The sequence below is a fragment of the Homo sapiens genome, chromosome 7 (genome assembly GCF_000001405.40).
Source record: "Homo sapiens chromosome 7, GRCh38.p14 Primary Assembly".
Taxonomy (NCBI): domain Eukaryota; kingdom Metazoa; phylum Chordata; class Mammalia; order Primates; family Hominidae; genus Homo; species Homo sapiens.
The window spans coordinates 72,555,659-72,569,205 of NC_000007.14; positions in this window are offsets into that span (position 1 = coordinate 72,555,659).

A 13,547-nucleotide genomic window follows, 5' to 3' on the forward strand; every position below is an offset into this window, starting at 1 on the left:
AAGCAATCCTCCTGCCTCGGCCTCCCAAGTAGCTGGGACTACAGGCACATGCCACCACACCCAGCTATTTTTTTGTATTTTTAATAGAGGTGAGGTCTTGCTATGTTGCCCAGGCTGGGCTTGAACTTCTGAGCTCAAGCAATCCTCCAAGTTTGGCCTCCCAAAGTGCTGGGATTACAGGCATGAGCCACCGTACCTGGTCTTGGCAAGCTTCTTTACTGCACCCTGTTTTATCAGCAGTCTTTGTGATCTGTGTCTTGTGAAACCAGTCCTGGTGAACTCCTATCTCATAATCACGTCTCATTAGGCCCACCTACCAATACTGTTGCATTGGGGATTAACTTCCCATCACATGCTCTTTGGGGGATACTTTTTTTTTTTTTTGAGACGGAGTCTTGCTGTGACATCCAGGCTGGAGTGCAATGGCACAACCTCGGATCACTGCAAACTCTGCCTCCCGTTTTCAAGTGATTCTCCTGCCTCAGCCTCCTGAGTAGCTGGGACTACAGACATGCACCACCAAGCCCAGCTAGTTTTTGTATTTTTAATAGAGACGGGGTTTCACCATGTTGGCCAGGCTGGTCTCGAACTCCTGAGTTCAGGTGATCCGCCTGCCTCGGCCTCCCACAGTGCTTGGATTCCAGGCATGAACTGCCGTGCCCGGCCTAGGGGATACTTTCAAACCATAGCAGGGCTCTTATCTCCTATGCTCATGTTTTTCTGCTCCACTGCTCTGGAGTGAATTAGATTATGCTGACACTCCTGGGCCCTCGTCTCTATCCCCTCCTTAAGGGAGGAAGATGCTTCGTAGTGGTGAGAATGGCGTTTCCTAATCCCCATCTGATATGGTTTGAATATGTGTCTCCACCCAAATCTCATGTTGAAATGTAATCCCTGATGCTGGAGGCAGGTCTTGGTGGGAGGTGATTGGACCATGGGGGTAGTTTCTCATGGTTTAGTACCATCCCCCCTTGGTACTATACAGTAAGTTAGTTCTCATAAGACATGGTTGTTTAAAAGTGTGAGGCACCTCCCCTGTCTCTCTTCCTCCTGCTCCTGCCATGTAAGACGTGCCTCTCCTTTCTCTTCACCTTCTGCCACGATTGTAAGTTTCCCGAGGCCTCCTCAGCCGTGCTTCCTATACAGTCTGCAGAACCAGGAGCCAATTAAACCTCTTCCCTTTAAAAATTACCCAGTCTCAGGTATTTCTTTATAGCAATGTGAGAACAGACTAATACACTACCTGAGCAAGGGTTAATGTGTTGGCAGACAGCCCAAGCCCTCTGATTTACTGAGTCACAGCACAAAGGAACTGCAGGCTCCTCCCTGCAGGTGCGTAGAGGGACCCTCTCTCTTCCATCAGCATGCACACAAATCTTGCAGGGGAAGGGAGGCCCCAGTTGATTGAAAAAACTATTTTGACTTTTCAACAGTCCAAGTTATTTCATCCAACTTCTCCTAAGCCAATAATCAGAGTATAAATTTCTAGTAGTCCTCAGTAAGAGACAATTAATTAGCTACCCAGTTAATTAGCTTCCTCAGTAAGGGGGGAGGCAAAGACATTAACGGAGGCTTCAGTGTCTTTGATAAGTGTTTGCAAGTAGAATAAGCCCAGAGAATTGCAGAACGTTTGCCTGCTGCGATTTTTTTTTCTTTTTTTTTTTTTTCAGACAGAGTCTCGCGCTGTCGCCCAGGCTGGAGTGCAGTGGCGCAATCTCAGCTAGCTGCAAGCTCCGCCTCCCAAGTTCACGCCATTCTCCTGCCTCAGCCTCCCAAGTAGCTGGGACTACGGGGCCTGCCACCATGCCCAGCTAATTTTTTGTATTTTTAGTAGAGACGGGGTTTCACTGTGTTAGCCAGGATGGTCTCGATCTCCTGACCTCGTGATCCGCCCACCTCGGCCACCTAAAGTGCTGGGATTACAGGCATGAGCCACCGCGCCTGGACTGTGATTTTTTTTTTTTTTACAAAGATGCGCTGTCTTTGTTCCCCCAGAAATGTGTTGTTTCCCTGACAGTCAGATGCATCCCTGCCTGCCTTAAACAAACAAAGGTCTGTGATCACTTTCTTTAACATCAAGGCCAGAGTTCCTGAAATCAATGAGAAATTCTAAACATACCAGGATGGCTTCCAAACAGGTGGGCTTTTTGTTCTCCAGAAAATGCAATGAATTTAAAACATTGTACCAAACATCTTCAAAACCTAGTCATGAAAGTAACATGCTTTATTACATTAAATGAAATTAAATCAGTAGAGGACAAATGCACTAAGGAGGCTAATGGCCAACATGATTAGTCACTGCTAACTTGCATGAAATCAATAGTAACCAAGAGGAGTTCCATCAGTTTGCACTGAAACAAAACGTGAGAGAAGAATCCAGCATACTGGAAGAACAACGAAAAAGATGAAATAATCTTTTAGCTGGGAAAAATATGTTGTTTTGAATATTTTGAGTATATTTTAACTTCAACGATAAGCTTAATTCCAATTTCAGGATATTATTTAAGGAAAAGCTTAGAAGTGTACTCCACAAAGAATTAAGAAACACAAGTCCTCATAACTTTTATTATGTTCTTTTGATTAAAATAATACATATTCATTCCTATATGCTCCTTCATATTACAAATGATTTTTACATCATGAAGATGATGCTATTCTGTGCTCTGTATTCTGTTTCAAACTTAGAATTATACTTCATAAACATCTTCTGTGACTAAAACTTCTCCAAAAACTTTCACTGGCAGCTGGCGTTCCACTAAAAGTGTCATCAATGACCCCATCAAAGGATATTTTTCTGTCATCCTCCCAGAATTCACTTCTCATTGGCATCTGGTCCTGTCAATTCGTCTTTTTTTTTTTTTTTTTTTTTTTTGAGATGGAGTCTTGCTCTGTCACCCAGGCTTGGAGTGCAGTGGTGCGATCTCACCTCACTGCAACCTCCGCCTCCCAGGCTTAAGCGATTCTCCTTCCTCAGCCTCCCAAGTAGCTGGGACTACAGGTGTGTGCCACCACCTCCAGCTAATTTTTTGTATCTTAGCAGAGACAAGGTTTCACCATGTTAGCTAGGCCAGGCTCAAACTCCTGGCCTCAAGTGATCTGCCTGCCTCAGCCTCTCAATGTGCTGGGATAACAGATATGAGCCACCGTGCCTGGCTGATTAGTCTTTTCTTGATCCACTCTTCCCACTGGATTTCTGTGACTCCATGGCCTGGTGTCCCTCCTAAAACTGTCTTTGCAAAAAATTATAACAGTAAGGAAATTACGACAGTGAAAGATTGGGTCTCACCAATCCCCATCTTGCCTTCAACATCCAAACTGCCTTTAATCATATCTGGGCTTGGGCCAAGCAAACTTTGGGAGACATTTAGTTTATAGTTTAAATGATAATATCCCTTCTCCAAAACTCAACCGCCTTCGTAAAGCTAATGAGAGACCGCCAGGCGAGGAGGATGAGAAGAGCCTGAATTCTGCTGAGATGTAGACTAAACGATTACCAGCCATTATTCCAGAGGTCACAAGATTTGCAACCCCCCAATAACTCCTACAGATTACGTCACTATTACAGAAACTAAGATTGGCCTTTTGAGATAAGGTTTCAGGTTTGTGCATTTCTGACAACCAACGGCTCCACTTGGACCCGCCAAACTCCCTCTGGCCCCACCCAGAAGTGAACTCGGCAGACAAGGACCATTTTTCACACCCCTATGATTGCATCCCCAACCAGTTAGCAGCACCCCTACCCTAGCCCCCTGCCCACCAAATTATCATTACCTCTGAATTCTCAGGGAGATCAAGTTGAGTAATAATAAAACTCCAGTCTCTCATTCAGCTGGCTGTATGTGAAGTAAGCTCTTTCTCTATTGCAATTGCCCTGTCTTGGTAAGTCAGCTCTCTCTGGACAGCCAGCAAAATGAACCCATTGCACACGGTTACAGTCTCATCTCTACCGGCTGTAGACTTGCCTCCTCTGTTGGAGCTCATCAAGGCTGGGTCTTTCCTGTTCTCATTTTATTCTCTCTCTTTAGGTGATCTCAGCCCTCCTCTAGGCTTCGATTATAACTTACAGGATTGTGATTCACACATTTCAGTTTCCACCACAGGCCCCTCCAGACATGTCCATCTGCCTGCTGTGTTGACTTTTCCCTTTGGAGTCTTGAGGCAGCTACAAGCTTACTGACCAGAAATGAACTCAAGCTCTCCCCGAAGCCTGGTCCTCTTCCAGGATCAGCCAGCCTGGAAGATGGCACTGTCATCCACCCTGTTCTCAGGCCTGCCACCCAGGAGTCAACCTTAGCCCCATCTAATTGTCAGAGGCATCTGAACCAGAGCAACTCCATCTTGAGTAGGGGATGGGTAAAATGAGGCTGAGACCTGCTGGGCTGCATTCCCAGACAGCCAAGGCATTAGCCACAGGATAAGATAGGAGGTCGGTACAAGACACAGGTCATAAAGACCTTGCTGATAAAACAGTTTGCAGTAAAGAAGCCAGCCAAAACCCACTAAAACCAAGATGGCAACGAGAGTGACCTCTGGTCGTCCTCACTGCTACCCTCCCACCAGCACCATGACAGTTTACAAATGCCATGGCAATGTCAGAAAGTTACCCTATAGGGTCTAAAAAGGGGAGGCATGAATAATCTACCCCTTGTTTAGCATATCATCAAGAAATAACCATAAAAATAGGCAACCAGCAGCCCTCAGGGATGCTCTGTCTATGGAGTAGCCATTCTTTTGTTCCTTTACTCTCTTAATAAACTTGCTTTCACTTTACTCTATGGACTCGCCCTGAATTCTCTCTTGTGCAAGATCCAAGAACCCTCTCTTGGGGTCTGGATCGGAACCCCTTTCCTGTAACATAATCAATTTGGTGCCAAATGCATGAAGTGTTATCTTCTAGGTCTCTCAAATCCATCCACTGTTCTCCATCCAGGAGAGTGTCACCAGGGCTGGCACAGATGGTTGCATACTGCAGAAAGGTCACCACGCAAGCCATTACCTCTCACCTGTTCCATGAAAATACCAACTCATCTCCTTCCCTTTTGGCCTCTCCAAGCCATATTCCAATCCACAGCTAAAACGATTTCATTAAAATGCAAATCTAATCCCGTTGTTCCTTTGCATAACTGCCCTGGGGAGAGGCCCGGCCTCTGTCTCCCCGAGTCATCACCCATTATGTGCCCCTGGTGTCCCCGTGTGGCCTGGCTCTTCCCTTCACTTCCCACATCGCCCTTCAGCTCCAGCCACTGTGGCCTTCCTGCAGCTGCCCAGGTGTGTCACGCTCCAGTATTTGTCCATTTTCACGCTGCTGATAAAGACATGCCCGAGACTGGGTAATTTATAAAGAAAAAGAGGTTTAATGGACTCACAGTTCCATGTGGCTGGAGAGGCCTCACAATCGTGGTGGAAGGCAAAAGCCATGTCTTACATGGCGGCAGACAAGAGAGAGAGTGAGAGCCAAGCAAAAGGGGAAATCCCTTTTAAAACCATCAGATCTCGTGAGACTTATTCACTACCATGAAGACAGTATGGGAGAAAGAGTCCCCATGATTCAATTACCTCCCACCAGGTCCCTCCCTAAACATGTGGGAATTATGGGAGCTATCATTCAAGATGAGATTTGGGTGGGGACACAGCCAAATCCTATCAGCCCCAACCCCTACCCCAGGAATTGGAAGAATTCTTCTCTTAGGCACCAGCACAATCAGTGCATGCCTCCTCCCACATCTCTGACTCCATCTCTCCAATGACACAATCACCCAGAGACTGTCCCTCTCTTTTGTGGCTCTTACCATCACTTGTGTTTGATGTATAATATTTATTTCTGTGGATCTTTGTCTTTGATGAATGTCTGGCACATCATAATGATAAGAAATATCCTTTCTTTTTCCTATCCTCCTTTCTTTTACTTATCAATAAATCCCCTGTAACTAGAACAAAATTGGTATTCAGTAAACATCTGTTGAATGACTTGAATTATCTAGACAATAGGGTGTACTGTAATGATTTTGCCATGCTTTCCAGAAATATTAAATGCCTCCTGTATTTTATTTCATTATTTATTTATTTATTTATTTATTTGAGACGGAGTTTCGCTCTTGTTGCCCAGAAGAGCAACAAGTTTGCTCTTGTTGAATTTCCCTTCAAAAGTTCAGCCTGTTAACTTCCTTGTTCTTTGTTCTCAAACCTAACTTTCTTGTTCTCCATGCCTCCTTGCCCCTAGTTACTGTAAACAACTTTTCGGTCAGCTCTAATCAATAACTCACATCTGTTCCCTTGGTTACTCCCTCTGCACCCATTCCACCCTTTGAAACCACACCTCCCACACATCCCACCATTGTAACTCACATCCCCCTTCCCCCTTCCTTATTTGGGAAAACTATTCAGAAATACCCAGTTGGGTCACTTTAGATTGTGTGGTCAAACCCCAGCCCATGGGGGAGTAACACAGAGGTAGGGATTGCGTTAAGAACAAAAACCCCCATTTTCCTTTGTTCCCTGTGCTCCTGCAATCATGATTGACGCAGGCAGCACCCTTCTGCAGAAGTAAATTGCCTTGCTGAGAAAACTTTTGCCTGAGTGAGAGTACTGGTTTCACTTTGTGGCACCAAGCATTTACTTCTAACATAAATATATTTAAATACATATATATATTTTTTTGGCCAGGCATGGTGGCTCACACCTGTAATCCCAGCACTTTGGAAGGCTGAGGCAGGCGGATCATGAGGTCAAGAGATCAAGACCATTCTGGCCTACATGGTGAAACCTCATCTCTACTAAAAATACAAAAATTAGCTGGATGTGGTAGCGTGCACCTGTAGTTCCAGCTACTCAGGAGGCTGAGGCAGGAGAACGGCTTGAACCTGGGAGGTGGAGGTTGCAGTGAGCTAAGATCATGCCACTGCACTCCAGCCTGGCAACACAGCAAGACTCCGTCTCAAAAAAAAAAATATATATATATATATATGTGTGTGTGTGTGTGTGTGTGTGTGTGTGTGTGTATGTGTGTACACACATATATATATATATATAATTTTTTTCTTTAAATCATTTAACCCAAAGGTAACGATAAAAGTTCTCGGTATGCATTGTCAAACTGCTTTTGAAAAATCTGTATCTGGGCAAGTGCGGTGGCTCATACCTATAATCCCAGCACTTTGGAAGGCCAAGGTGGTTGAATTGCTTGAGCCCAGGAGTTTGAGACCAGCCTGAGCAACAAAGTGAAACCCTGTCTTTACAAAAAAAATACAAAAATTAGCCAGGTGTTGTGGTGTGCACCTGTAATCCCAGCTACTTGAGAGGCTGAGGTGGGAGCATAGCTTGAGCCTGGGAGGTCAGCGTTGCAGTGAGCCATGCTCATGCCACTGTACTGGAGCCTGGGCAACAGAGTGAGACCAAGTCTCAAAAAGGAAGTCTATATTTTATTGTAATATAATAATTTTTAAAACTTTTGCTAATTTTGTAACTGCCTGATAGGTTCTTTCTGCCCACTGCACAAACAAAATAGACCATGGCATTGCAATAAAGAAAAACTTTAACTGACACGCCAGCCACATCACGTAGGAGACAAATTTACTACTCAAACCTATCTCCGTGAAGGCTCAGAGGTTAGGGGTTTTTCAAGGATGGTTTGGTGGAGGCTGGGCGCAGTGCCTCACGCCTGTAATCCCAGCACTTTGGAAGTCAAGGCAAGCAGATCACTTGAGGCCAGGAGTTTGAGACTAGCCTGGCCAACATGGTGAAACTCTGTCTCTACTAAAAACACAAAGATTAGCTGGGCGTGGTGGTGCAAGCCTGTAATCCCAGCTACTTGGGAGGCTGAGGCAGGAGAATTGCTTAAACCCAGGAGGTGGAGGTTGCAGTGAGCCAAGATCATGCCACTGCACTCCAGCCTGGGCGACAGAGACTGCAACTCAAAAAAAAAAAAAAAAGGTTTGGTGAGCTAGGGATAAGGGTGGCTAGGCAGTGGGTGCTTGCTGCCGATTGGTGGGTGAGAGAGAAAATCCTAGGGAGCTTGGCCAGACATGGTGGCTCATGTCTGTAATCCCAGCACTGTGGGAGGCCAAGGCAGGTGGATCATGAGGTCAGGAGATCGAGACCATCCTGGCTAACACGGTGAAACCCTGCCTCTACTAAAACTACAAAAATTAGCTGGGCGTGGTGGCGGGCGCCTGTAGTCCCAGCTACTCGGGAGGCTGAGGCAGGAGAATGGCATGAACCCGGGAGGCAGAGCTTGCAGCGAGTGGAGATCGTGCCACTGCACTGTAGCCTGGGCGACAGAGCAAAACTTTGTCTTGAAGAAAAAAAAAAAAAATTCCTAGGGAGCTGAAGCTATCTTCTTGTGCTGAGTCAATTCTGGGTGTGGCCACAGGAGCAGCTGGCAGGTCCAGGCAGAGCCAGGTGTGGAAAAGATATCTCAAAAGGTCAATCTTAGGTTCTACAATAATGATGTTACCTGCAGGAGTAATTGGAGAAATTGCATATCTTGTGACCTCCAGAATAATGGCTGGCAATTGTTTATATTTACAGATAGTAGAAATCAGGCTTCTCTGTCCTCCTCGCCTGATGGTCTCTCATTAGCTTTATGAAGGCAGTTGAGTTTGGGGAAGAGCTATTACCATTTAAACTATAAACTAAATGTCTCCCAAAGTCGGCCCAGTCTAATCCCAAGAATAATTAAGGCAGCTTGAAGGCTAAAGTCAAGAGGGGGGTTGGCTAGATCAGATCTCCCCTGCTGCCATAATTTTCTTGCTGATGTAATTTTTGCAAAGGTGGTTTCAATTTGATGAATAAAATATTCTTTTAATTTGCATTTCCTTGGAGAAAGTGAACAGTTCATATTTTGTAGCCATCTGTATGTCCTCACTGATAACACTTTATGTCCCATGTCCTTTGTTCATTCAGCCAGTCAAGTCTTAACATTTTTAAAATTCAACTATATGAGGTTTTTGAGGATTCATCTATCACACTTCATACAAATTATTTCTCCCAATCTTTGCCTTTTGAGTTTATGTGATGTTTGATATATCAAATGCTTAAACATATTCTACAGTCAAGGATTTTTCGACCTTTCCTTTATGAGTTCTTACACTGGCTTTAGACCAACAATGGTTCTGAAAGTGTGGTCTCTGGGCTAGCAGCATTAGCAGCATCTAATGAAACCACCTTTGCAAAATTATGACTGAGACAGTGAAAGAGATATAACTTCACTGACTCCATCTTGCTTGCCGTCCTTGTTCATTCCTGGGCATAGGCTGAACTAACTTTGGGAGAAACTTGGTTTATAGCTTAAACAAAGACGGTAACAGCCCTTTCCCAAAGCAAAACCCTTCTTGCCTGGGGACTAGAATGCCTTTGTAGGACTAACATTAACCACAACATTAGATATTATGGTTTAGGAGTCATGCTGCTGGAGGCTACAAGATTCTGACCCTCCCTAAATTGCTCCTTAGATCAGTGCTCCAGATATTTTGCAGACGCTGCACTTGATGGATCAGCTGGTGCCACCCAGATTGATAAACTGGCTCATCTGATCTTGTGGTTCCCACCCAGGAACTGACTGAGCACAAGAAGACAGCTCCGACTCCCTGTGATTTCATCTCTGACCAATCAGGATTCCTGGCTCACTGGCTTCCCCCCACCCATCAAGTTGTCGTTAAAAACTCTGCTCCCCAAATGCTCTGGGAGACTGATTTAATAATAAAACTCCAGTCCCCCGCACAGCCGGCTCTGTGTGAATTACTCTTTCTCTGTTGCAATTCCCCCATCTTGATGAATTGGCTCTGTCTAGGCAGTGGGCAAGGTGAACCCCTTAGGCGGTTACACTAGGAGCCTTTTAGAAATGCAAATTCTACTCACTGAAGACCTATGATATCAGGATATCAGATACTCTGGGGCTGACCCCAGTAATCTGTATTAACAAATTCTCCAGGAGATTTCTTATACAAAGGAAAGTTGTGGAAGCCACTAGTCAAGAAATGGCGTCCTTACGTAAGCTTTCTTCTGAGCATTTTGTTTCTCCTGATTCCTTTTGGTATATAATAGCACTAAATGTTTTTCTCCCAAACCCCCACCGATTTAGGATGCTTCCTTTATCTTAAGTTTTACAAACATTCAGATTTGCCTCTGTGCTTTCATTCTTTTTTAACAGCTTTATGAGATAAAATTCGCATACCATAAGATTCACCCATTTAAAGTATACAACAGTAAGGGGAGCCAGGCATGGTGGCTCATGCCTGTGAATCCCAGCACTTTGGGAGGCTGAGGGTGGATCACTTGAGTTCAGGAGTTCAAGACCAGTCTGGCCAACATGGTGAAACCCTGCCTCTACCAAAAATACAAAAACTAGCCAGGTGTGGTGGCGCACGCCTATAGTCCCAGCTACTCAGGAGGCTGAGTCATGAGAATCGTTTGAACCCGGGAGGTGGAGGTTGTAGTGAGCCAGATCTCACCACTGCACTCCAGCCTGGGTGACAGAGCCAGACTCCATCTCAAAAAAAAAAAAAAAAAAAGTGTACACAACAATTTGGGGACTTTCAGTATATTCAGACTCGTGCCAACATCACAGTGTTCCCACATTCTGATTTTAGTCATTTGCATCTTCTCTTTTGTTCCTGGTGAGTCTAACTAAAGGGTTGCCAATTTTGTTGATCTTTTCAAAGAACTAACTTACTATTTCACAGATTTTTCTCCACCGTTTCCTTTTCTGTATTTCATTTATTTCCACTCTAATGTTTATTATTTTCTTCATTCTGTTTGCTTTGAGTTTCATTTGCTCTTCTTTTTCTAGTTTCTTAAGGTAGAATGTTAGATTATTGATTTGAGATATATCTTCTTTTCAATGTAAGCATTAACTATAAATGTCCCTCTAAGCATTGATTTAGTAGTATTCCATAAATTTTGGTGTTTTTATTTTCATCCATCTCAAAGTATTTCCTACTTTCCCTGGATGATCTCTTTTTTTGACCTGTCGATTCTTTAGGATTTTTTAAAATGTTTACATATTTGTGAATTTCTTAAATTTTTTTCTGTGGTTGGTTTCTAATTTCCTCCCATTGGTTGCAGAACATAACTTGTATATTTTCAGTCTTTTTTAATTTACTGAGACTTATTTTATGGTCTAACATATAGTCTATCCTGGAATGTTCCATGTGCCCTTGAGAATAATGTATTGCTAAATGGAGTGTTCTGTCATGTCTATTAGGTGGAGTTAGTTTATAGTGTCACCCAAATCTTCCATTTCTTGCTGGTCTTCTGACTAATCCTTCTATCTATTATTGGAAGTGGGGTATGTAAGTCTCTATTATCGTGGTCTTTCTCATATACATTCTGTCAGGTTTCGCTTTATATATTTTGGGGCTCTATTGTTAGGTGCATGTATGTTTATAATCATTATATCTTTCTAGTAAATTGGTCCTCTTATCATTACAAAATGTTCTTTGTTTTTAGTAGCAATTTTATCTTAAAGTCTCTACATATTTTTTTCACGCCTGTAATCCCAGCACTTTGGGAGCCCAAGGCAGGTAGATCACGAGGTCAGGAGTAATGGTGACCAAGATGGTGGTCACCATCTGACCAAGATGGTGAAACCCTGTCTCTACTAAAAATACAAAAATTGGCTGGGTGTGGTGGCATGCACCTGTAATCCCAGCTACTTGGGAGGCTGAGGCAGGAGAATTGCTTGACCCGGGAGGTGGTGTTTGCAGTGAGCCAAGATCGTGCCACTGCACTCTAGCCTGGGTGACAGAATGAGACTCCATCTCAAAAAAAAAAAAGTCTCTACATATTTTTAATATTGCTGTAGCCACTCCAGCTCTCTTTTGGTTACTGCTTTCATGGGATATCTTTTTCCTTCCTTTAACTTTCCACCTATTTGTCTTTGAATCTAAAGTATGTCTCTTATAGACAGCATATAGTTGGATTTTTAAACAATTTTATTGTCTTTTTAAAATTTTAGATTCAGTGGGTACATGTGCAGGTTTGTTACAGGGGTATACAGCATGATGCTCAGGTTTGAGGTATGATTAAACCCATCACCCAAGTAGTGAGCATAGCACTCAACAGGTTTCTCTCAACCCTTGCTTCCCTTCCTCCCTCCCCAGTTTTGTAGTCCCCAGGGTCTATTGTCCCCATATTTATGTCCATTTGTACCGGTGAAAACAATGCAGTTATTGGTTTTCTGTCTCTGCATCATTTCACTGAGTAATGGCCTCCAGCTTCATTCATGTTGCTGCAAGGGACATGATTCCATTCTTTTTTTATGGCTATGGGGTATTCCATGGTATATATGTGCCACATTTTCTTTTTCTTTTTTTTTTTTTTTTGAGACTGACTTTTGCTCTTGTCAGCCAGGCTGCAGTGCAGTGGCATGATCTCAGCCCACTGCAATCTCCCACTCCCGGGTTCAAGCGATTTTCCGCCTTAGCTTCCTGAGTAGCTGGGATTACAGGTGCCTACCACCACGCCTGGTGAATTTTTGTATTTTTAGTAGAGATGCGGTTTTACCATGTTGGCCAGGTGGTCTTGAACTCCTGACCTCAGGTGATCCACCTGCCTCAGCCTCCCAAAGTGCTGGGATTACAGACATGAGCTACCATGCGTGGCCACCACATTTTCTTTATCCAATCCACTGTTGATGGGCATCTAGGCTAATTCCATGTGGTTTGCTATGGCAAATAGTGCTGCAATGAACATAGTTAATCCATTCTTCCATCTCTGTCTTTTGATTGGGGTGTTTAATCCATCCACATAGTACAGTTACCTATAAGGTAGAAGTAATCTCTGTAATTTTTGCTACTTCTTTTTTTAATGTCTTATGATTATGCTGTTCTATTCCTCCATTACTGTCATCTTTTGTATTCAAAAGATATTTTCCATTGTATCTTTTAAAATTCCTTTGTTATTTCCTTTACCATATGTATTTTAAATGTATTCTCTTAGTGGTTAGCCTGGGGATTACACTTAACATCTTAAAACAATCTCTTTTGGATTCATATCCACTTAATTTCAATAGTGGCAGTCAAGAGTCACTCCAATATACCTTTATTCTCTCCTCACTCCCTTGTGCTATTATTATCATACAAATTACATCTCCATATATTATAAGCCCATCAACACAGTTTTATAATTATTGCTTTAGGCAGCTGTCCTTTAAAACAGAAAAGTTACAAACAAAACTGTTTATATTGTCTTTCACCATACCTACATAGTTACCCTTACCTCTGCTCTTTATTTCTTCATCTGGATGCAAGTTAATGTCTGGTGTTCTGGTCGGGCGCAGTGGCTTATGCCTGTAATCCCAGCACTTGGGGAAGCCGAGTCAGGTGGGTCACCTGAGGTCAGCAGTTTGAGACCAGCCTGGCCAACATGCTGAAACCCTGTCTGTACTAAAAATACAAAAATTAGCCAGGCGTGGTGGTGTGTGCCTGTAATCCCAGCTACTCGGGAGGTTGAGGCAGGAGAATCGCTTGAACCCGGTAGGCAGAGGTTGCAGTGAGCCGAGGTCGCACCACTGCACTCCAGCCTGGGTGACAGAGCGAGACTCTGTCTCA